The sequence below is a fragment of the Homo sapiens genome, chromosome 13, assembly GCF_000001405.40.
Source record: "Homo sapiens chromosome 13, GRCh38.p14 Primary Assembly".
NCBI classification, from domain to species: domain Eukaryota; kingdom Metazoa; phylum Chordata; class Mammalia; order Primates; family Hominidae; genus Homo; species Homo sapiens.
In genome coordinates, this window is record NC_000013.11 from 66,627,085 (window position 1) to 66,653,300 (window position 26,216).

A 26,216-nucleotide genomic window follows, 5' to 3' on the forward strand; every position below is an offset into this window, starting at 1 on the left:
GAAATAGTTACTATAGAAATTAGTACCAGCTCTCAGTGACTTTTTTTATATGAACCATATTTGAAAAAACAGAAATCTAGATAAGTACAATCGAAATTACTTAGTACTTCTACAGATCATACTGACATCCAATAGAAACCTATTTTACCTGCTATAAAATCACAACTCTTCGGGAACTATCAAAGCCCGGTCAACAAATTCCACTGAATTCAAAGGGGACAATAGAGAACTAAATAGCAAAATTATTGCTAGAGATGATTACTTCATCAATATCACTGTACCTCACTTCACAAATTTCTCAAAGTTAATTACCAAAAATGTGACTGCAAAATTTAAAGGTAATATGTAATAATTCTATCCTAATATGAATGAACATTCAGTCTGACTCTCTTAATATTTCTAGGCCATTCTAATTAATTCTGCTCTAGACATTTACAAAGGAGGTTTAAATTTTATGTCCCATTAAACATCAAGAGAACTGCTGGCCTCTAGGGGCTCCCAGGGCCTCTCGCTTCTCCACTTTCTCTTTTCTCCCCTTCCCAATGATGAACAAGGCACTGTCACAACCTAAGAGCCCTGCTCTCTCCAGTTTAAAGACGTTTTAGTGATCATTATTCTTGTGAGTGACGTCACTGTGCTGGGTGAATGTTGGGCTGCCCAAGGTTGTGCTGTCCATTGGGTGTCTTTTTCCATGTGACTAGATTGGTAAAAACTCTAGAGATTTCTTGAAGCTAGTTTGAAAGGTTTTCGTTTGTTTGCTTTTATTTTCCTGGTTTAGGACCTCTGCTATCTTTTTCCATTTGGCACCTGGCCCATTGCCACTGCCTAGGTCGAAGTCACTGGGTAAATTGTTATATGTATTGGACAATATTTTGGCCTGGGGCAGCTTAGTTTAAGCATACTTTAAAAGCTAGGAAAAATATATTTTTTTCTTTTCCCTTTTCTATGATTGGAAAACTCAAATGTGGGCTTTCTTAAGTGTGGGCTTAGGAGAAAGCAGACCCGTATTGGTAAAAATTATTTTCTAGCCGAAAAAACAAAGATAAATACAAAACAAAACTTGTCTGTCCATTTGGTCTAGATATTTGGTCTAGATGAACTTACCAACCATCAACAACCTGCTACTTTTATCTCATTCATGTTTTATTTTTTTCTTTCTTGAACATATATTTCTCTTAGAGACTTCAGACTCTTAGACTGTGTTAGGCTCTGATTAAAGTATTCAAAGGATCCCTGAATCTCCGGACAAATAAACAGACAAACAAAAAATGAAATGAAATATTACCACATGATTCTTTTTAACAATAAATTTCTCATAATAACTTTATACATTTGCCTTTAATTTAGAATTTACTATTTCTAAAAACTAAGCTAGAAAACATAAACCAAATTTTTATTGTAATACATATTTTTTGAGACACACCCACACTTGAGGAAAAGGTGGTCTTGCTCTGTTTCCCAGGCTGGAGTGCAGTTGAGTGATTATAGCTCACTGCTGCCCAGACTCCTGGTCTCAAGTGAACCTCTTGCCTTAGCCTCCCCAGTAACTGGGACTACAAGCATGTGCTTCCATGCCAAGCTGTAATACATATTTAAGTGAGCCTTTGCACATAAGCCTAAGTTTTGCTTTTCTTCAAATAGATTTTCAGTAATGCATTATTTCTTATAAGAGTCAACAAATTTTTCATTTTTGTGCATATATATTGCTGCTATGATAGTGAAGGTATATATAACATAATTTTGCAATTTTTCCTGTACTCAGATACTTCTCAGTTGGCCCTGGCTAAAAGACAAAAAATTCTATGACAAATAAAATATATAACTCTCATTTTATCCTTATAGCTATTAAATTTGAAAAGCTGCCTTTGCTTTCTAGTTGAAATAAATTTTAAAATCTCTAACTCAATTAGTTAACTAGAAAATTACCCAGATGTTCATTGGTTTCTGAAATCCACTGATTAAATTTACTGTACCCAGAATTTTTGCATATGCATCTGAAATATTTCATTATTCTGGCCAAAAAGTTCATGAAACATTGTCTTAATCTTATTCATTGTAAATATTCTACCTAGAATTGCACATACTACAAATACTTTGAAGATATCTTTGTAAATTAACTTTGGTAAACTCTATAGACAAGTCCTAAAACAATTTGTGCAACTGTTTTTTAAATGGGACTCTTTCTTTTTTGGTTTTGTCTGAGGCCCATAGACAAGAGGAGCCAACCACTCACATACACTTAGAGAAAACATGGTCAGGAACCAGCTGTGAGACTCTTAGCTTTACTTCAACAAGAGATGTTTTAAAATTGGAGAGGGCAAAGTTGGAGACTAGGAAAACAGTTTTGAAAGAGCTGTGTGAATTCCACCTACATAAACCTCTTCACAGAAGTCTGGAGAAGGTTGATTCAATGAAACCACTTAGATTCAGTGGTGCTTACACTGGTCAAAACCATGAAATCAAAAGAGGATAGTTCTTGTTCTCCCAAATTCAGTGTAATAATAAGAGGTTTTTTCCTTGGGTATGTCCTGTTCTTCTCGATATGTGAAATCAAAAGATGCACTTATGTTTTCTTTATGTGACCAAGGTATAGGACATGAAATAACAAAACCAGAGCTGGCAGGGAGCTTAGATACTCCTGAAAGATTGCCTTGAGTAGAGAAAATTCTTGGCAGAGAGAAGATAAAATGTAACTTTGCATGCCTTATATTTGCCAATGAGAAGAGATTTCCAAAGATGGGGACATGCTGGGGATTGGAAGGAGGCATACCTTAGAAAGAATCTGTCCTTTTTTTGACAAAAAGAAGCAGCTTAAAATGCTGGAAGTCAGAGAACACCAGTGCTGTATTACTATCACACAACTGGCTAAGAAAGCCCTGTTGTATGTTTTACCTCCTCCTGGTATTCCTACTTCCACCATAGAAATGCCAGAGATATTTTCATGTTTGAAACAATAAGAAGCAAAATAGGTAGAAAATCAAGAAAAAAGTCATCATACTTCAATTTCCCACTTCGTGCAACCAGTTTGGAGCATGTTTAAGATGAGTTAAACAAACAAACAAGCAAAAATATTTTTTTTTGCCCTGCTTAGTTTAGATGCATTATTATAATTACTATTTTTATTATTTACTTCTTAGAGCAGTTTTAGGATCACAGCAAAATTGAGATAAATGTACAGAAATTTCTTACATATCTCCTGCTCCCACACATGCATAGCTTTCCCCACCATGAACATACCCCACCAGAAAATAATTTGAATTTAAGTAAAATAGAAATTACAGTCATTAGACTGGGGATAATAATTGATGAAATGGTCTTTTATTTATTTATTTAATAAAAGTAAGCTAGTCAGTGTTTTTTATTAGCAAAAGCATTAGCACTTGCCCAAGATTTCCTCCAAAGGCCAAGGAAAACACCCCCCAACAATGCTTATTTGGAGTGGGCAGTGATTTCTGGAGTGGGGTATGGGTCTGTGGAGAATAAAAGTTTTGGCCAAATATATCTCCCTCAGCATAGTAGTAAAAAAACAAATTATCCAAGAATTCAAGTAGACAATAAAGGAAAAACAACCCCCAAATTGTTATCTCTCCTCTTCACACTTGTTTTAATCATGATTTAATCCTTTTTTTTTTAAATTTTCTGGTAAAAACCAGAAAATCTGATAGACAAATTCTAAAATACCTTTAACTCTAATATTCTTTATTTGTTTTTGTAAAGTGTTCACTGGAAAATCAAATTTCATAGGACATTTATATATGCAAATAGATTTCTTTTTTTCATTGACTATTCTACTTAACTGTATTTTTGCAGTTCTAAAATGTGTTCAAATTTCATAAGATCTCTGACATCAGAATATCTTGCAACAAATGGCTTCTTTCAGTTATATTTATAGCATGTTTTTTTCTTTTTTAATGGTTCATAAAATGAAGACACATCATACAATTTAACAGCCAAAATCATATCAAACATATTAAATGTATATCTCAAAGAATACAGCAACAACAATAAAGCCAGCAAAAAAATAACTAAATGTTCATCCTTGCCCCCTACAATTATTTTTGAAAGCTCAAGTGCACTACAAAACCAGAACAACTCCAAGCAATCAAAATTTTGAAGGGGACTCACCAGAGTTGGGATCAGAGTTGCCATCTGCTTCAGTCCTCTTGTCCGGAGAGGCCTGGTCATAGAATTCGTCCTGTGGCTGAACCAGAGGAAGAGGGTGTGAGATCAGGGTTCCACTACCCACCGGCTCATGGTCTCCTAGACCACTGTCACTGCAGCTTTCCTGGGAGCCATCAGGGAGATGAAACGTAACACGGCGCTGCGACTACAAAGAAGACCACAGGACATGCTGATTAACACTCCTCTCAAATAAAACAGGCCTAGTGGAACACAAAATCAAAACACTTTCAACAAGTAACACAATGTAAAAGCAAAATAAACCAAACTAGGAACAAAGCTAAGAACAAGTATTAATTACTTGCCATTTACTATGTAATGGCCAACCAGCAAAATACCAAAAAGAATTTCAATCTTGTATAATTCACGACCTTAAAACTAAAGTTGGGGCTTTGAAAAGTGTAACAAGAAAGGCAAAACAAAACTAAACAAAACTTATACTGTCGACAAAATTACAGAAAAAAATTAAATAAGATGAAATATGCAAATATGCTTTTGATAAATCTAAATAAATACTTAGAAAATGCAATATTTCATTTCTTTTGAATGACCAGACATTGTGCTTACTTGATGTTTTTAGGGTAACATTTGTAGTCAACATATTTCCTACAGTACCACCTCCTTTTTGTTTGTTTGTTTGTTTGTTTGAGACAAAGTTTCGTTCTTGTTGCCCAGGTTGGAGTGCAATGGCGCGATCTTGGCTCACTGCAACTTCTGCCTTCCAGGTTCAAGCGATTCTCCTGTCTCAGCCTTCCAAGTAGCTGGGATTTCAGGCGCATGCCACCATGCCCGGCTGAATTTTTGTGTTTTTAGTAGAGATGGGGTTTCACCATGTTGGCCAGGCTGATCTTGAACTCCTGACCTCAGGTAATCCGCCCGCCTTGGCCTCCCAAAGTGCTGGGATTACAGGCATGATCCACCATGCCCAGCCCACCTGCTATTTTTAAAGGACACCGTACCCATGTAAGTGTCCCTAAAGCAATACTGGAATAATTAATTAAAGTTATTATTTGAAGAGTCTCAGGATCGACTGACTGAACTAGCTGTGCTAAAATTAGTATTTTAAATAATGAAGTTCTATGCAATTGCTATTGATATACATAAAAAGAAGACTATATTTTAAAAGAGATTAAATTAGAAATTATTCTTGACCATTGACCCAGCTATCACTCTAATCTTTGGCTACACTGGTAGTAGAATAGAATATCCTAGTTGAAAGGTATTTGGAATATCACTTTGGTATCTATGTGCACAATGTCACTCTCAGATGTGACCTAAAGTGTATACATGGTAACTTCAATACATTGTCATGTTTACCAAAAAAGTTTTCTCATAAAAAATAATACATTTTAATGTTTCCTCAGCACAGATTGGTTTAGTTCTCTTGGAAAATGCTCTTTTAGCTGCTATGATCTCTGAGAATATTTATAATTATGTGGGGTGGAGATTTAGGCCTTAGAGAATTGTATGAGAGTAGTACATTTGCGCTATTTGAATAAACCTAGTTTTCTTTCTGCCTAGCAGCCAAAAGACCTTTCGATACCATGCTACATATGACCACTTAAATTCAGAATTAATAAAATGATGAATGTATATATTAAAAAATATATAATATACAAGTATATAATGTACAATATAATCATTTTCTAGTACCTAAAATTTGTGCTTTTCAAGAGACAATTTATAGATTGTATCCATTTCAAAGAAAAAGGATTGCGGTTAGAAACAAAATAGTATAGATAGGTATACTGAAACTGTATGAATGCATACTTATAGACTGACAACAGAAGACAGCCTATATCCTGTGAGTCACTGGTTCAAATCCAATTCAGAGTCATAATGGAGTAGAGATGATATCACTTTACTGCTGTTCAATGATCTGTGTGAAATGAGTTGATAGTTCAGTACATTTTTAATGAACTGATGCCAACATCACAAAAACTATAATCATAAATGGTACTAATTGCCTCTATTGTAACACATTTCACCTTCATGCACATGTATCTCAAGAACATCATTCCCTTCTCAAAGGTTTTGAAACGTGCCTAGGTGAGTGCTATAGAAAAGGCAAGCTAAGCTTGAATATTAATATCTGAAATGTATTTCTTCCTGGCTAAGAAAGATCATGCTACCATGTTTATTTATTGTAGTGTTTACTCTCTTATATATATTTAACTCTTCAGGGAAAACCAATAATACAAATATTAGCCATTTATGTTTCAATATGCCCTCAATCTATCAATATCCTTTTGTGATAAAGACTGTACTAGGAACCACAGTGCTTATTATGGATGACTGTCAAACATAGCTTTTACAGTGACTGATCTACTGAAAACTCCTAGATTTTAATGTGTCTTTGGTATTATCTCTTGAGGAATACCTCTTAACTCTGGTGAGTAAAAAGAAGTCAAGTCTTAAGAGAAAAGCAATGAAACAAATGATTCTTGAATCTTCGTAAAGCATTTCTGGAAGTCCCTTAAGCCATTAAGAAGTATATATTTGAAAGACAGAAGTAAAAAAGAAAAAAATACATCTGTGAGATTTTTTAACATAGTTAACACTGTTTTAATGACGATATTTCTTCCTCATAATGAATGTTTAAATATGCACGACTAGTTATACCTTAATCCTGCAGTTCTTGCAGGTGGTCCTTGTAACAATTTTTTATTGAGCATCTACTATATACCTGGTACAATGATTACACTGAAAAGAAAAACTAAAACATTGTTTTCCAAAACTATTTCAAATATAGCTTATTAGAGTCTGTTTCACATACACTACACTATTTTTCTTTAGCACTTTATAAGTGAGAATAAGAAAAATGTAAATTTACTATAAATTATTTGCAATTAGACACTGTAAATTGGAGTGATATAATGTTTAAACTATGGAGGCTTATGAAAATCTTTCTGAATTAATTTGACTCAGATGTTTAAGTCTTAATTGGCAGATTTGTGCACAATCTATCAGTCTGATGGGAGGGAGAGTGGTGATGTGTATGGATTAAGAATCAGTACATGGATATTACGGTATGAAGCAAATTGATGAAACAAACCCATCTTTATCATCATAATGATTGATGCAAGTAAAAGAATGTCTGAACTATCAGGGCAGATGTAAGGAGATGAACTGAATAAATTGACATGCAGAAAAACAAAGACCAATAAGGTGTAGGAGACAAGGATTTCTGTTGTGTTTAAGGGCTCAGTAGTACTTGCTCAGGTTGAACTGCAGAGCACCAATTTAAAAAGAAGCCAGAACCAGACCTCATGGCTGTTGAATGAGTTCCTGGCCTTGAGAAATAGAAAATAATACCTTGCCTGTGGAAGTGTTGAAAGGCTAAAAATAGTGTTCCTGGTATGCAATACATGACACATAGTAGATAGTGTTCCTGCTATGCAATACTTGATACATTGGAGATAGTCAATAAAAAGTAGCTATAATTATTGAAATTTAAAACTACATTTTTAAAGCTTATGGTCTATCAATATTTGGCTGGTTTTAAAGATGTGATTCCCTTATCCCCCACCCCCTCCAAAAAAGTATTGTTCTTTCACAAGTGAAATATGTGATCCACAGAATTTGGCATGCCTCACCATGCAACCTATTGATCTTGTCAATTCAGGGCCTTCTCTGAGGTGACGCAGCTCTTAGTGTGGGGTGGGAAAGACTAAAAACCAGGAATACATGTTTTCTTCCTGGAGAAAGTGAAGAGTTGCCCATTATCCTTCCAGTACATATATAATGGTATATTCAGAGGAAAAAGTGTTTACTTACTGCCTCCAAAAATTTTGCATTTTGATTCATCTTTATGGAAATAAGCTCAGTCTGGGTTATAAATGTAGTCAAATCCTGACTGGCTGAAGAGGGACAACACATATTACAGTGAGACTCCTTCAGCCTCTCCAGAGCTGGGCAGTTACATTTTGTTTTCCTAAATCTATTTCTTACCCATTCCATTTTATCCTGTGGGAAATATTTTTATTATTATTGCCTCTGTCCAGTTAATTGTTTGCATGTCACATTTGTTTACCTGATTTATCATTGACAGGTTATATACAGATTTCTGGCTGGCTTGAGAAAGAATAGGATGAAAGAAGTAACTACTAAGGCTTCCACACTTTATTTTCTGTCAGGACTGCCACTATGAATTCTGATTAGGCAAAGTTTGTATCAGAAATTCTACTCTACACAATTAATAGTGCCATGTGTTCACACATGGGGGTGTAGAGACAGGGTCCTGAAAGTCAGAAGGTGACACACTGGTTGGGTTTGAGAAATATCACCAAGAACCTCTACAATACTTTTTTCTTGCAGCTTAGAAGAAAAGCAAAAGAAGGAACATTCGAGATGCCTAATGAAGATGTACATGTCCTGCACTGAGCATTGTTCTTCAAGACTCACTGAAAGAATGAGTCACCTAAGAAATCCCAATCATTGCTTGAATGGTTCTCTTATGTTTTTCTTACTGGTATACAATAGCATTCACAAGTGAATGACTCACATTCAAGCCTACTATTTCAGTCTTATGAATTTACAGACATTCCTATGTGCAAGGATTTGGTGGTAAATGTCATTGTTTTCTGCATAAAATAGTCTAAAGGTAAGAAAACAGTAAAATGTCTAATAGATGATTAGTAAGTTATATAATATCCTGTAAAGATCACACCATATAGTTGTGTTAAGTATTGACAATACTTACAGTTATGTCAATTAATATGTATTAGCATAGAAAATATGTATAATCTATTGTTAAAGTTAAAAATCAAGTTAGTAAATATTTTGCTAAATTGAATTGCATTTTTGTTAATGTGTATGTATGTGTGAATCTGCATAAGCTAATTTCCAACCACACATATACCAAGTGTTTAAAGTAGTATTGTTTGGTCATGTGATTATGATATTCAAAAATGTTATTATTTTGACCACACTAAAATTTCAACACATTATCTTTGTAATAATAAAACATATCCCAATTTTTAATTGTTTATCTTCATCACTTATAGAAAATTAGAGCTTAATCCAGAAGAACAGAAACATTTGATATATGGTATATGGGTTTTCCCTTGAGCTAAGGTATGCCAAACAATCTTCTGATCTCTTTTCTGTTATTCTAACTTCCATTCTTCACTTTCTTTACGTAGTTTTTTAATCATCACAATTAAAGATCCTTGCCTTCTCAAGTAACATGATAACAACATGAATCTAGCACTAAGCCAATTATTACCAACTAAATAAACCAATTATCTAATTAATGACAGACATTTAAAATAATTATTGTCCAATGGAATGTTATACATTGATATTATGAAAATAGAAACAAAAAGTTATTTGTAATTGTTTAAATATGATTTTATGTATAGAGAATTCTTTAAATATCTTCTCGTGGAAACATTGTACCTAATTTTGATTTAATTCCCTTGCCATGCTTGAGCAATAATATGTCATTTATTTATCTATCATTCTAACTATGTATCTATGTATCTATCTATTGCTAAATACATACACACACACACAAACACACATACCATCAAGAAAGTACTTATGATGAACTAAAATACAAAACCATGGTAAAATTTTATATTCAAACATGTTTTTGCTATATCTCTGCATAAATCCAATAAAGATTTGATTTTTCTTTATTTGAAATATTTTCATATATATCTCTTCTCAAAGTAGCAAAGGAAATCATTCCAAAGAGGGTTAAAAAATATAGAGACTGGAAACTGCATTTTAATACACATATTTCTTATAATATTCACTAGAAATATTTTGAACTTTCTTATTTTTATAAGAACACAATTTAATTGTAATTTATAAATAGCTGTCATAAAGATAGTCTATGGTAAGTTCCTCAATACGGTCTTACCATCTTAAATCAATGCATGCACACATTTCCTCTTAATAAAATCCAAAACTCATTGTGGTTTAGAAAGTAAAGTAAATGGGACCCAAAAAGCAATCTATGGTTATGGCCTAATTTGCTATTGCTCTGAATATTTGCAGACTCGACTTAAGGGTAACAAATATTAATACACACATGTACTTCATTCATGTTTGAAAGATGAGACTTAAACCTTAAGGTTTCTGAACTTATGATTTATGGAAATTACTAGTACCTATGTGTGTTCATTCTCAAGAATAATAAATAGTTTTGACAGATAAAATTATAAAGCACTTTTCTAGTGGTAATAAATAAAATACTTTATGAGTTGAGAATTTTTTATGAGTCATTTTATCATTTGTAACTCAAAAACTGAGTTAATTTTCTATGCTGTTTATTGGAAGTACTTATGTTAAAATGGCTCCACTAATGTAGAAATCACATCCTTTTTTGAGTGGGAAATTGTTTAGAAATTTAATTTTCTGGCCAGGCACAGTGGCTGACGCCTGTATTCCGAGCACTTTGGGAGGCCGAGGTGGGTGGATCACGAGGTCAGGATATCGAGACCATGCTGGCTAACACGGTGAAACCCTGTCTCTACTAAAAATACAAAAAAATTAGCCAGGTGTGGTGGCAGGCACCTGTAGTCCCAGCTACTTGGGAGGCTTAAGCAGGAGAATGGCGTGAACCTGGGAGACGGAGCTTGCAGTGAGCCGAGATCATGCCACTGAACCCTAGCCTGGGCGAGAGAGCAAGACTCCTTCTCAAAAAAAAAAAAAAGAAATTTAATTTTCTATTTTAGTATGTTACATTTTTTTAGACAAGGAAGTAAGGTAAAGTGACTTGTCTATATAGGTTTCAATGAGAGAACCAAACTAAAAACCACAATTTCTGATTTCCAATATAAAGGTATTAGCATTGCTCATTCATCTCTTCACTTAAATAATTATTGAGTACCATTATATTCTAGACACTACTCGAGCTGCTAATACTACAATGGTGAACAAGACAAATACTATATTCCACAACTTCCTAAATAAGATCATATTCTAAAAAGTAGAATTTCATTAAGCTCCTTGCCATCAGTCCTGAGGATTGTTTTGACCAGCAGCTGTGTCACCTTTTCATAATGTCATTCTCTTCTAATTCTTGCAAACTATGCAGACTTAGGCAAGGTCAGTGTGTGAATGGGAGACTTTCACTGTATTAATCAGTAGAAATCTAGGTAAGAAAAAAAAGGCGAAGGGACTGTATTCTGAGTTTATGCCAAAACAATCTGCAGATCTGTTGCCAGCCATAAATTAAAATTTACTGCCAATTTGTGAACATAAAAAATAAAAGGAATAGAAAAGTATCAAAGACTGCTAGAGTAATTCTGGACTCAAAAACAGAATAATTGTGAATTTTGCATGTCTTAATGAGCAATTTTTTTTCATCTAGAGAGTTACAAAAATATTAACAACCTCAAATAACGATTGATGAAATCAAAACTAGCAATTTTTTATGAGGAACATATACACATGACATGTTATGAGCTTACAGTAAATATTTATTTACTGAATGAAGATGAGTTAACTGGAATTAACGTATGAAATCTAAAGGGGACAGAGTAGAAACGAAATATTATTGTCCATCCTTCAGTGTGATTTCTCACGGGAAAAGTTACCTGTCTCCTCCATAATAACTTTTAAGAGCCCTGCCCTGTTTTAGAAGTTGCAAAGTGAAACATGATAACATTCCACTAGCTGTCAGCCTTTCCTCCTTTCCTCTTTGAATTTTTACATTTTAGAAGATTTGGAGACAAATGGGAAGGTTCAGTTTGTGTTTGAGAAAAATAAGCAACAACTTCACTGATCCTATTTGATGAATGTGAAGGTGTCAGCAATTTCAAAATAAATTTTTTGATTCCTAGTTTTATGCATGCTATATAAAGTAGAAATTGGGTGCAGATGATAACTGGCCATTTAAAGTCAAGCAGTATTTTCAGAGGAAATGGGGGAGTTTGTCTGCACTCTACTTACTGCTCTTTTAACCAGTTTGCTGTTTGCCGCTAAGCAACTGCTTTGTTTGAGGATAGAGCTGTCAGCTTTTGTTCTAACTTACTACTCAACTGCATGCTTAGTTGTGGAGACTTGTTTTTATGTGTGTGGAAAACTCACATGGACTTAAACTTGGCCTGTTTGATTTGTAAATGTCTTATTGTGAAATGAGTTCCTCAAACTAAGGATCTGTATTTTTTCTGGGATTTGTAAAGTGCATCAAATACCTCTTAGGACTCCCTGTGGTAGAGAACTCATATTAATGTCATAAGGTGATAAGTAGTCTACTGTAATTTGACATTTGTTTCTTGTGATTTCAGTTAACTAGCATCTATCATGTGAAAAAACAATTGGTATCTTTAAGAAACTTGAGAGAAAAGTATACCCTATACTCCTTTTGGGTGTAGTCTTGGTGCTTGAATTTAAACATTTGAAACAAACATAAAACAAAAAACTCTCCTTCACATCTTTTTCTCCTGTGGGACATTAGAGAAAAAAGAAAGTTCTGAATCAACTTCCCTTTATGGTTTGGGGACATCGCCCCACCCTTATAAGTCTCCTCAGGGGTTCAAAGCAAACAGAGAGGATTAAAAATTGTCTGCATTGTTGGTGATTTGCTTCTTATATTCTTGTTTATTAGTTCCTGCTATCAGAAAAGTCCTCAACCTATTTCTCATTGCCCAGTAGGAATGTGGTACTTTATCTGAGCACACGAAATATAAAATGACTACATTAAACAGGAGCAGCTGTTCCTGAATCTGCAAGCAGAATTTTGCATCTATTAATGATATGTACAGAAATATGGAGGAAAAAACCCAGCAAGAGTCCTTTCCAATTTAGTTTTCTAGAAAAAACAAATCCAAATGAGAAAGTAAGTTACCCTTACCATATTTACAAAATCAGAATACATGATGGCTGTAGCAATTTAATTAGAAATTACATTAAATTATCACTATTATTAGATAAATATATAGACATCACAGATACAACATACGGTTTTAGAAAAAGGAGGCTTTACTTTGGATAACAAAGTATCACCACAAAATGTGTGATAAACCTCTTGTCAATATTTATAACAAAAATGGAATCTGATTCAGTGTCTACTACTCAAGAATTTGTCTCAGTTCCCTGTAGCAGATTTTACAAAAGAAGTAATGGGAATCACCCTAGCATTCCCCTTGTTAATAATTCTCCATACAAAGTAAGACTTTTAAAACCAAAGTAGGCCACGTTTTTAAAGTAAGTTGCAGCTTTTAGGACATAGCCCCAATTTTATACAATAATTAACCTCAGACTATGGCCAGACTGGTAAAAAAGTTTAAACAGTCACGCACCCATGCAAAGACACACACACACACACACACACACACACACATCCAAACATGCTTTAAACTGTCCTCATGTATTGCTGAAAAGGGAAAAGATTGTAATTACCTAGTAAGAATGAAAACTAGTAATTCAAGCCTTTAAAGGACAGATAATGTTATTCCAAGTTAGAGAATGAAACACAAATAGAGGGGTTGAAGAAGTGATCTCGGCAGAAAGTCTCTGAGAAGTACGATTACTGTACAATAAGGTTGTTTAAAAAATGCTCATGACGGATTGTTAATTTGCACCTATAATGTAGCATAATCTGTTTCAACTGATCTTGTGTCACACAATGCAGTTTTGTTTCATTTATTTAACTTTTGGATTTTTTTTTTCTTTTTTATGGAGTCTCACTCTGTCTCCCAGGCTGGAGTGTAATGGCACAATCTCGGCTCACTGCAACCTCTGCCTCCCGGGTTCGAGCAATTCTCCGGCCTCAGCCTCCCGAGTAGTGGGATTACAGGTGCTTCCCATTGCATTCAGCTAATTTTTGTATTTTTAGTAGAGATGGAGTTTCGCCATGTTGGCCAGCTAGGCTGGTCTCAAACTCCTGACCTCAAAAGTAGTGAAGGAGTTAAGAAGCTCCTTCCAGTAGTCCTAGATCATGTAATGGAGATCTATCACTGACAGATCATGGATTATGATTAATTCTGAGCCATCAGTCACATCTTTTTCAGCAAAAAAAGAAAAATGTCAATGGGAATGATGTACCCCTGTAGCACAGCTTTCTAGTCTATGATTCAAGGAGACAGCCATATAACTATTAATTAGCATAGGATTCACAAAAACAAGCAGTCACGTTAAAGAACTTGATCCTCTTCAGTAGGTTAATGGGAGGATTAATTTGTATGGAGAAAGTGCATGGTCATGCATAGTCTACAAAATGTAGGTAAAGATCCTAATTACACTCGCAGTGTATGGAAATATGTGCGTGCAAGAACAGAACATGACAATGAGACTATTGACAAATTACCGCATTCTCTCCTCCAGGCTCTACTAAAAGCATGACATGTATTTGAGAAATGTTTTCCAGAATTGAGGAGAGAGGGGAAACAACAGATATGGAAGGGACTGTCTCTAGCCATATAGAACACACAAAAAAGCATCCTTTGAATTTCATCTTAAATCTTAGACTTATTAATGCATGATATGAAGGGACAGATAGATGATGGATGGACAGAGAGATATAGGTAGTTAAGTAGATAGAAATATCGATATGGGTTGACTATCCAATGCAAAACTGTGTCTGTATTTAACTACCAAATAAAAAAAGAAAGTTACAAAAAATTCATGTATTTCTTCTTAGTAATGGTATTGTGAAAAATGTTTGTATTGTGAAGTGCAAGCATATTCTAACTGGCCTTCTTTTAATTTTCTCAAAGGGTTTCAATGAAAATATTGTTTGCAGTTGAAATATTTTGATTAGAAATGTGTAATATTCAAGCACTATTTATTTACTTCCAGTTATGTAAGTGAGGAATAAAATAAAGATACTTTTAAGATATAGATAAAATGTATATATACATTTGTGAGCATATGTATAGGTATCTATATATTCATGTAACAAAACTGATGCACAAATACCAATACAAACATGCTATATGTGTCTTAAAATGTGGAATTTATATTTTTAGACAGTAAAATTGTCAAACATATCTGAGATCTTTACTTATTAATGTTGAAAATAAAATCCAAACTTTATTAACTTAATCTCAGAAAGCCTAAATTAATGAAGATAAATTCTGATATATGTTATAGTCCAAAAAAGGCCTTTTTGGCTATGTTTGGTGCTATGTAACATATAGCCTGACCAGGTAACAAAAAATTATTTGTTTAGAAATATTTCATTGAGTGTAGAATTCATCATATGCAATTGTGGTTATAAGATGAGAAAAACACATCCTGAATTAACAGAAATCTTATAAAGTATCTATTCTGTTCTTTATTAGGTACTTAATGATTCATATGCTATGGCAGTAACACCACTAGATTTTTTAAAGTTTTCAAATTTATGGTTTTGAATTGTTTTGAAACCTTGCATATTATACGACACAGCCTCAAGGTGTCAACACTTTGCCTTTCACGACCTGATTTTATTTTTTCAAACACCTAAAATACATTAGAAGTAGTGAACAGTATTTTTTAAAAAAAGAAATCATAAAGTAAAAATGGCACATTTTCTTCAGTAGCTTAAAAATTATATTTGAGGAATTCCAATATAATTGGAATTCCATTAGAAAAGTGGAATTCCAAATATTTTGAGAAATCACAATATTAAGGGTAGCTACGAATGAGGGCAAATTTGAAGGACAGCACTTATTTAAATGCATAATTTCTGTTCTTTAAATAAAGATCAGTCTCAATTTTATTCTCAACTTATATGCAGAAATGTTCTTTTTGGCTCATAAATTTAGTAATAATAATAAAGGCAGTATGGTATGAGAGAATGCGATGAATAATGATAGACTTCATAAGCGGTTTTGAATCATAGAAATCTGAGAAAAAGCTTATAAAACAAGTTTCCAACATACAAATTGAAAAGTAACATTCAGATATGGAAATAATATCAAGATATTTTGGGAAGTTTTAATAAACATTAATCAGTAGATGGAAAAACACTGATGACCTGATAAGCTGGAGGAAAATATGTTTTAAGCCTCTCTTGCTTTAAAAAATATAATATGTAACTACCTACTCTACTCAGCTAGAATCAGAGTCCTTATAATGATCTTAAGGAAACAGAGAAACTAACCCAGTTGGAATAAACATGAATAAGATTTTATATCTCTTTTCTCCCGGGTAGAGGAGTCTTTGTTCTGAACAGTCGAAGTAGCTGGACTTCATTTTTTTTTAATCCACCTATTATTTCAGACAGTCACTGTGACTTTGAGCCTGATATTTGAAACAAAAATCACTCCTACATTTCAGCGATAACCGCTACTTGCCCTATGGCTTTTTAGTTAGTCTGTCCTTTGAAAACATTACCGAGTCACCTATCTCAGTTATTTGTGCACTAAGGATAATTTGTTTCTTCTGGATACAAATATAAAATTCAAACGTATGTCAAGAACTTCTATATGTCAAAAGCTTCTGTAAGTTTAGGTAGCTTCTGTAAAATGCTGAATTGTACTAAAAAATGTAGTTACTTTAGAAGGCATGACACTCTCAAACATTATGTTCTAAATGTGGATAGAGCAATCTAGAAGGTAAACATCCTAAAATAGTAGCAATATGTTTTTTGAAGATAAAAATGTAAACACCAGTAAGTTCTCTTGACTCTAAGATCTAAAGGATATACACAGAATTGCCTTCTAATTTTTGTCTAGGGCAGAGAGGGAAAGATAGTTTCCAAATAAAACATGTACAAAATTTCCCACACCTGGAGGGAACTTACTGTCTAACACAATTTGCCCTATGCATTAAAATTTAAGAACAATAAGACAGCCTGCAATTAGAAAAAATACATTAAATTTTCTAAAATTTATACATAGGCTCACAAATATCAGAAACATATTATTGTATGTATATAATGTTAAAGATGATGAACAAATTGCTAGCCTGAAATGACTTTTTCAATGAAATTATTAGAGTCAACAATTGCTTAAACATGTGTATTTAAACAAAATGGAGGATAAATACAATACATAATTAAAAGAAATATTTTATTATCTAGGGTATAAAAAAACATGATAAGTTAACACTAACATTAACTATGAATTTTATTAATAAAAAATGCATCAATACTGGCTCATCATATGTAACAGATGCTACACTCATGCAAAATGTTAAATCGTAGGGAAAACTGTGTTCAATAAGACAGTGTATATAAGAATTCTTTGTACTTTGGGCACAATTTTTCTGTAAACCTAAAACTGCCCTAAAAATAGTCTTAAAAAAAGATTAGAAAGAGGAAGTAGACAAACTTTTGTAGTAAAAATAACAGACTTCGGGCAATTTTCAAATCATTTAAATGATAGCACTGTTCAATATTATGTTGAATCTTACTTCTATTGAGCTTGTGTGCATGCATGCATGTGTGTTAGTGATATAGATAATTATGTATCATCATTCTTATATTTAGCTCTGAATGGGCCATTTTACATCAGTCATCAAGGCTCTATATTCACATAATTACATATATTTCAAAAAAAAGTACTTCTGCTTCCACAAATTTGTAATTGTGGTCCTCAATTGTCCTCGGCTTCTATTTTTTAATTTTTTAAACAGTATAGACTTTAAAGTTTCTACATTAAATAGCCATTTAAAAATATTTTATAATGATTTAAACAAATGTTTATTCTCCAAGAGACATATTTCAGAGAGCTAACTTCATGAAGATGAAATGAAATGCTCCTCATATTAGAAAATAATTCTGATCTAGTTCATGTCCTGGTCTGACAGATGGAAGAAGATAGATGATGGCACTTTGAGAATTAAGAAATCACCTTTCCTGGAACAGATCATAGAGCGTACTGTCTGTAGAAGGCATCTTATCTGAGGCTTTACCAGCTGATAAAGCACATAGAGAATGCAGTTCAGACATCTTGTTTTATCACTGACTTTTCATAAATATGAAAATCTAGAAGAGTTTCATCAGATTTGCAGTTTGGGTGATAACCAATCAAACGCAGCAGTTCAGCAATATTAGTTACTAAGAAACTCTGATAGAAAAAAGTTATTTTAGTGCATGAGTATGATCTTATGACCCCTTCCTCCTCCCCATCACCCATGCATATAATCTCCCGTAGTGTTTGCAGGGCAAAACTGTTAGAAGAAAAAAGTACAATCATAGTGTTTCTGGTAAAAGAAGAAGTTGAAAATCAACAATTTGAGATATAAATATATTTTAGCAACATTGTTTTAAAACTTCCAATCTGTTCTCCTTACTAATTTCATTACTAGTTTCCAAACTGCATGCGAGAGACATTCATATTAAAAAAATAGAGTACAAGAGAAAGTAGCTAAATTATGAGTCCTTATAAAACTGATATTTCTAAAACTAAAACATAAAAAGAATTTGAAAACGTGGAAAATGCCTGCTAAAATAGAAGGATATAAGATACACTTGTAAATGTGGAGAAAATATTCTAGGATAGAAGAGTTTAAGAAAAGTTGAGACTCCCTAGAGCTCTTTAGTCAGCTATTCAACAAACATTGTTGATCACCTACTTTCTATCAGAGACCCTGTTAGATATTGAGATTTTTGTCAATCAAGACTGGTACAGTCTCTCCATTCATAATGTTTATAAAGTAGTAAATGAAATAGAATAGAACCAGTAATTACAAATGAAATAGGTATTATGAAGAAGAAATTCAGGGTACAATAGAAATAAGTAACAGAAAGATCCAATCTATACAGGGAAGTCTTCCAGTAAGGGATATAGCAGGACATGAAGGGCCACTTGGCTTACACTGGGAGGCTACAATTCAAAGTCCCACTAGCTTATAATTCTATGCAAAACAATGAAATAATAACTCTACAAAAGCCGCCTCTTGTCAGCTTTGTTTGAATTCCTGTGTGGAACACAAACTCTGTATCCCTGGAATAAAACTAACAAGAAAGATTCTAGATGTTACTGAAACATGTTTCCCAAAGCTTCTAGAGTTCTCTTATTTTTACTCTGTCCCTCTAAATACATTAACATAAACAGAGATGTAGTGATGTTTACCTTTTCAGGATTGAATTATTAAGTTGCAATAATGCTGGGTGCTTAATAATGGTATCCTGATACACTTCCATTGTTTCTTTTCAGATTTCTTAATATAGCTGGGATTTTCACTGTATTTTCTGAAATTATTATCAAAATCATACATTAAGAAAATTATGACCAGCTATAGCTAGAAATATAAATTTCTAAAAGGCAGGAACCATGTCTTATTTGAATTGATATATCTAGCACTTCACATCATGCTTAGCACACGACAAGAAATATGTGTTGAATGAAAATATACAACCATGTACATAATCAGAAACTATTTTTTCCTTAATGACAGTAAAATGAAATAACTGACTTGACTTCATTTTTCTTAACATGAAAAACTGTTACTTATCTGCTCAGAAAAAAATACTGAAAAGAGAGATGGAGCAAGATGGCTGAATAGAAGCCTTCACCAATCGTCTTCTACACAGAACATCAAATTGAATAACTATCCACACAAAAAAAGCACCTTCATAAAAACCAAAAGTCAAGTGAATGATCACAGGACTTGGTTTTAACTTTATATCATTGAAAGAGGCGTTGAAGAGGGGTAGAAAAGAAACTCTTGAATTGCCAACACCACCCTTCTTCCATGCCCCAGCAGTGGCTTTGTGGTGTGGAGACAGTATCTGTACACTTGAGGGAGGGAGAGCGCAGTGATTGTGAGACTTTGCATTGGAACTCGGTGCTGCCCTGTCACAGTGGAAAGCAACACTGGGCAGAACTCAGCCAGTGCCCATGGAGAGAACATTTAGACCAGCCCTAGCCAGAGGGGAATCACCCATCAAGTGAGTTCCAGCAAGCTTTGCCACCAAGACCTAAAGTGCTCTGGAGTGCTAAATAAACTTGAAAGGCAGTCTAGGCCACAGGGACTGCAATTCCTAACCAAATTCTGATGCTATTCTGGGCTTGAAGCCCAGTGGACTTGGGGAGTAGGTGACTTAGTGAGACACCAGCCAGGGTTTCCAAGGAAATGCTTGCACTATCCTCCCCCATCCCCAGGCTGTACAGCTTGCGGCTCCAGGGGAGACTTCCTCCTTTTACTTGAGGTGAGGAGAGGGAAGAGTAAACAGGACTTTGTCTTGCAACTTGCTTACAAGCTCAACCATAGTAGGATAGAGCACCAGGCAGAGTCTTGAGGCCCCCAATCCAGGCCCTAGCTCCCAGATGACATTTCTAGATACTCCCTGGGCCAAAAGGAAAACTGCTGTCTTGAAGGGAAGGACCCAGTCCTGGCAAGGTTAATCACCTGCTGACTAAAGAGCCCTTGGGTCCTGAATAATCAGCAGCGGTAGCCAGGTAGTACTCACCATGGCCCTTGGGTGAAACTCAGAGATGTGTTGGCTTCAGCTGTGACCGAGAACATTCCCAGCTGTGGTGGCTATGGGAGAGAAAAATCTTTCTGCTTGAGAAGGTGGGAGAGAAGAGTAAAGGGGGCTTTGTCTTGCAGCTTATGTACCAGCTCAACCACAGTAGGATAAAACATCAAGTGGGTTCTTGGGTTCTCTGATTTCAGGCATTGGCTGTTAGACAGCATTTCTCTACCTGCCCTGGGCTAGAGGGGAGCCCATTGCCTTGAAGGGAGTGTCTCATACTCACGAGCATTCACCAGAAGCTGACTGAAGAGCCCTTGGGCCTTGAGTGAACATCAGTGGTAAGCAGGCAGTACCTGCTGTGGGCCTGGGGAAGAGACGGCCAGGGGGAGAAATTCTACTACTTGTGGAAAGGAGAAGAAAGGGTGGGAAAATCTTGTCTTTTGGCTTGGGTGCCAGCTCAACCACAGTAAAATAGTGCACCAGAGAGATTCCTAAGGTTTTCAATTCCAGGCTTTGGCTTCCAGACAACATCCCTGAATCTGCCTGGAGCCAAGATAAACTCAATGCTCTGAAGAGAAGGACACAACCTAGTTGGCTTTGCCACCTGCTGACTGTACAGTGCTAGAGACTTGGGCAAACATAGGTGGTACCCAGGCAGTGGTTACTGCAGGCTGGGGGTGAGACCCAGTGCTATGCTGGCTTCAGGTCTGAACCAGTGCAGTCACAGTGGTTGGGTGGCCACAGGAGTGCTTGAGTCACCCCTCCTCCAGCACCAGGCAGCTCAGCACAAAGAGAGAGACTCCATTTGTTCAGGAGAAAGTAAGGGAAGAGAACAAGATTTTCTGCCTGTAATCCAGAGAATTCTTCTGGACCTTATCGTAGACCACCAAGGTGGTACCTTCAAAAGTCAGCAAGAGCCACAGTGTTACTGACCTTGGGGTGCCCCCTAATGCAGATGCAGCTGCAATAATCAAAAACTTAGGTCACAACACCCAACTCCCTTGGAATACCTGGAAAGCCTTTCCAACAAGGATGGGTACACAAAAGCCCAGACTGTGAAGACTGCAATAAATACCTAACTTTTCAATGCCCGGAGACCAACAAACATTCTCAAGTATCAAGACCATCCAAGAAAATCTCACCTCACTAAAAAAAACTAAAAAAGGCATCAAGGATCAATCCTGGAGAGACAGAGATATTTGACCTTCCAGACAGAGATTCAAAATAGCTATTTTTAGGAAAGTCAGTGAAATTCAAAATGACACAGAGAAGAAATTCAGAATCCTACCAGATATATTTAACAGAAAGTCTGAAAAAATTTTAAAAAACCAAGCATAATGCAATTGACATACTAAACAATGTGTCAGAGTCTCTTAACAGTAGAAGATCAAGCAGAAGAATTAGTGAGCTTGAAGACATGCTACTTAAAAATACACTGTCAGAAGAGACAAAAAACGAATGAATAAAAAAGATTGAAGCCTTCCTACAAGATCTAGAAAATGGCCTAAAAAGGGCACATCTAAGATTTGTTGGTCTTAAAGAGGAGGTGGGGTTTGGGGGAGAAGGTTATTCAAAGGGATAATTACTGTAAACTTCCCTAACATAGAGAAACATATCAATATTCAAGTAAAATAAGGTTATATCAGAGCACCAAGTAGATTTAACTCAAATAAGACTACTTCAAGACACTTAATAATCAAATTGTCAAAGGCCAAGGATAAAGAAAGGATCTAAAAACAGCAAGAGAAAAGAAAAGTATGAGACAATGGAGCTCCAATACATCTGGCAAAAGACTCTTCAGTGGAAACCCTATAGGCTAGGAGAGAGTGGCATGACATATTTGAAGTGCAAAAGAAAAAAAAACTTTTATCCTAGAACAGTATATCAAACAAAAACATCCTTCAAACATGAAGGACAAATAAAGAGTTTCCCAGAAAAACAAAAGCTAAGGGATTTCATCAACACCAGACCTGCCCTAAAAGAAATGCTAAAGGGAATTCTTCAGTCAGAGAGAAAAGGATACTAATGAGCAATACAAAATCATCTGAAGATACAAAACTTACTGGTAATAGTAAGTAACGGAAAAACACAGCATTTTATAACACTGTTCTTGCGGTGTTTAAACTACTCATTTCTTGAGTAGAAAGACTAGAAGGTGAATTGATCAAAAATAATAACTACAGTCACATTTCAAGACATCAATGGTACAAAAAGATATAAATAGAAAAAACAAAAAGGTAAAAAGCAGTGGGGCAAAGTTAAAGTGTAGAGTTTTTATTAGTTTCTTCTTCACTCACTTGTTTGTTTCCTTAGACAATCCGTGTTAGTTATCATTATTTTACAATAATGCATTATAAGATATTATTTGGAAGCCTCATAGTAACCTCAAATTAAAAAAAAAACACAAACACACAACAGATACAAAAAAATAAAAAGCAAGGAATTCAAACATACCACCATAGAAAACCACCTTCAGTAAAAGGAAGATAGGAAGGAAGAAAAGAAAGAAGAGAAGGCCACAAAACAACCAGAATACAACAAATGGCAGGAGTAAATCTTTACTTACCAATAATAACATTGACTGTAAATGAACTAAACTGTCCAATCAAAAAAAATAGAGTAGCTGAATGAAAAAATAAGAACCAATGATCTGTTGCCTGCAATAAACACACGTCACCTATAAAGACACACCTAGACTGAAAATAAAGGGATAGGAAAAGTCATTCTATGCAAATGGAAACTAAAAAAGAACAGAGTAGCAGTATTTGTATCAAACAGATTTAAAGACAAAAACTCTAAAAGAGATGCAGAAGAGCATTATATAATGATAAAGGGGCCAATTCAGCAAGAGTATATACCAATTGTAAATATATATGTACTCAGCACTGGAGCACCCAGATTTATAAAACAAATATTATTACAGCTAAAGAAAGAGATAGACCTCAATACAATAATAGCTAGAGACTTCAACACCCCACTTTCAACATTGAAAAGATCAACCAGACAGAAAATCAACAAAGAGTAAGGGGACGTTGTCTTGCAAAGTCCCCTTCACAGTGGACTTAGTATACCCTATAGACCAATTGAACTTAATGTACACTATAGACCAAAAGGGCCTAATAGATATTATATAATATTTCATCCAACAGCTGCAAAATACACATTATTCTCCTCAGTACATGAATCATTCTCAAGGGTAGACCATATATCAGGCCACAAGACAAGTCTCAAAAATATAAAAAAACATTGAAATTATATCAAGTATCTTCTCTGATCACAATAGAATAAAACTAGAAATCAATAACATGAGGAATTTGAAAACTATACAAATACATGAAAATTAAATAATACATGCCTGAATGACCAGGGGGTGAGTGAAGAAATTAAGAAGGAAATTTTTTAAGTTCTTGAAACACATAATTATGGAAACACAACATACCAAAACCTATGCGATACAGCAAAAACAATACCCAAAGTAAAATTTATAGGTATAAGTGCCTACATCAAAAAAGCAGAAAAACTTCAAGTAAACAACCTAAAAATGCATCTTAGAGAACTAGAAAAGAAAGACCAAAGTGAACCTAAGTTAGTAGAAGAAAAAAAATAATACAGATCAGAGGAGAAATAAATGAAAAAAAGTACAATTGATCAATCAAACAAAAAAGTGTTTTTTAAATAAAATCCACAAACCTTTAGCCAGACCAAAAAGAAAAGAGAGAAGACCCAAATAAATAAATTAGAGATGAAAACTGAGACATTACCACTGATACAACAGAATCAAAGATCTAGAGGTTAATATGAGCAACTATGTGCCAATAAATTGGAAAACCTAGAGGAAATGAATAAATTCCCAGACACATACAACCTACAAAGATTGAACCATGAAGAAATCCAAAACCTGAACATACCTATAACAAGTAATGAGATCAAAGCTGTAATAAAGTACTAAAAAGTCTCCCAGCAAAGAAAAGCCTAAGACCCAATGATTTCACCATTGAATTTTACTAAACATTTATTTAAAGAACTAATACCAATCTGACTAAAACTATTCCAAAAAATAGATGAGGAAGGAATGCTTCCAAACTCATTCCATGAGGCCAATTTTACACTGATACCAAAACCTGACAAAAACACATTAAAAACAGAAAACTATAAGCCAATATCCCTGATGAACATTGATGCAAATATCCTCAACAAAATGCTAGCAAATCAAGTTCAACAACACATTAAAGGTAACTCATTATGACCCAGTGAGATTTATCCCAGGGATGTAATAATGGTTCAATATATGCAAATTGCTCAATGTGATACATCATCTCAAGAGAATGAAGAGCACAAACCATAACATCCTTTCAACTGGTGCTGAAAAAGCTTTTGATAAAGTTCAATACCCTTTATGATAAAAACACTCAAAAAACTGGGTAGAGAAATAACGTACCGCAATACAATAAAACCATATATGACAGACCCAGAGCTAGTGTCATACTGAATGGAGAAAACCGAAAACCTTTCCTCTAAGATTTGGAAGAAGGATGCCCATCTTCATCACTGTTATTCAACATATTACTGAAAATCCTAGTTAGAACAATTACACAAGAGAAATAAATAAAGGGCATCCACACTGGAAAGGAAGAAGCCAATTACCCTTGTTTGCAGATAAAGAACCTAAAGACTCAATCAAAAAATGATTAGAACTGATAAAGTCAGTAAAGCTGCAGGATACAAAATTAATATATAGAAATCAGTAGCATTTATTTATGCCAACAGTGAACAATCTGAAAAAGAAATCAAGAAAATAATCCCATGTACGACAACCACAAATAAAATAACATACTTAGGATTTAACTTAACCAAAGAATGGAAAGATATCTTCAATGAAAACTGTAAAACATTGATAAAAGAAATTAAAGAGGTCACACAAAAAAGGAAAGATATCTATGTTCATGAATTGGAAGAATCAATATTGTTAAAATGTACATACTACCTAAAGTAATATACAAAGTTGGTTCAATCTGTAAAAAAAAAAAATCCAATGATATTCTTCACAAAAAACAATTTTAAAAAGTCCTAAAATGTATATGGAACCACAAATTACCCAAACCAATCCTGAGCAAAAATAAGAAAACTGGAGGAATCACATTATCTGACTTCAAATTATACTACAAAGCTATAGTATCCAAAATAGCATGGTATTGGCATGAAAACAGGCACATTTACCAATTGAATAGAATAGAGAACAAATGGAGAAACAAAATAGAGACACAAATCCATACATCCACAGTGAACTCATTTTTGACAAAGGTATCAAGAACATACATTGAGGGAAAGGATAGTCTCTTCAATAAAAGATGCCATGAAAACTGCATATCCACATGCAGAAGAATGAAACTAGATTTCTATCTCTTGCCACATACAAACATCAAATAAAAATGTATTAAAGACTTAAATCTAAGACCCCAAACCATGAAACTATTAAAGAAAACACTGGGGAAACTCTGCTGGACAGTGGTATGGGCAAAGATTTCTTAATAATACCCTACAAGCACAGACAAACAAAGCAAAAATAGACAAATGAGATCACATCAAGTTAAAAAGCTTCTTCACAGCAAAGGAAAGTCTGTTTCCTTTGTTGTCTAACAAAGTGAAGAGACAGTCCACTGAATGAGAGAAAATATTGGCAAACTATCCATCTGACAAGGGCTTAACAACCAGACTATATAAGGAGCTCAAA

The 26,216-nt window shown here is 34.4% G+C and overlaps 1 protein-coding gene, 1 long non-coding RNA gene and 1 pseudogene across 6 annotated transcripts in view; 1 reads left to right on the forward strand and 2 right to left on the reverse strand.

The window, feature by feature from the left end:
• PCDH9 (protocadherin 9) overlaps positions 1 to 26,216 on the reverse strand; it is a 927,503-nt gene that overhangs the window by 324,251 nt on the left and 577,036 nt on the right. For 3 of the 5 annotated variants that reach the window (XM_017020619.3, NM_020403.5, NM_203487.3), the window contains one exon: positions 4,126 to 4,327. In XM_017020619.3, the coding sequence (XP_016876108.1) occupies positions 4,126 to 4,327 (202 nt within the window). The remainder of the gene's footprint in view (positions 1 to 4,125; positions 4,328 to 26,216) is intronic. The other 2 variants (NM_001318373.2, NM_001318372.2) reach the window with 1 other exon arrangement.
• Positions 1 to 26,216, forward strand: part of LOC105370247 (uncharacterized) — a 99,761-nt gene that overhangs the window by 66,700 nt on the left and 6,845 nt on the right. The window lies entirely within an intron of this gene.
• Positions 3,631 to 3,692, reverse strand: RNU7-87P (RNA, U7 small nuclear 87 pseudogene; annotated as a pseudogene).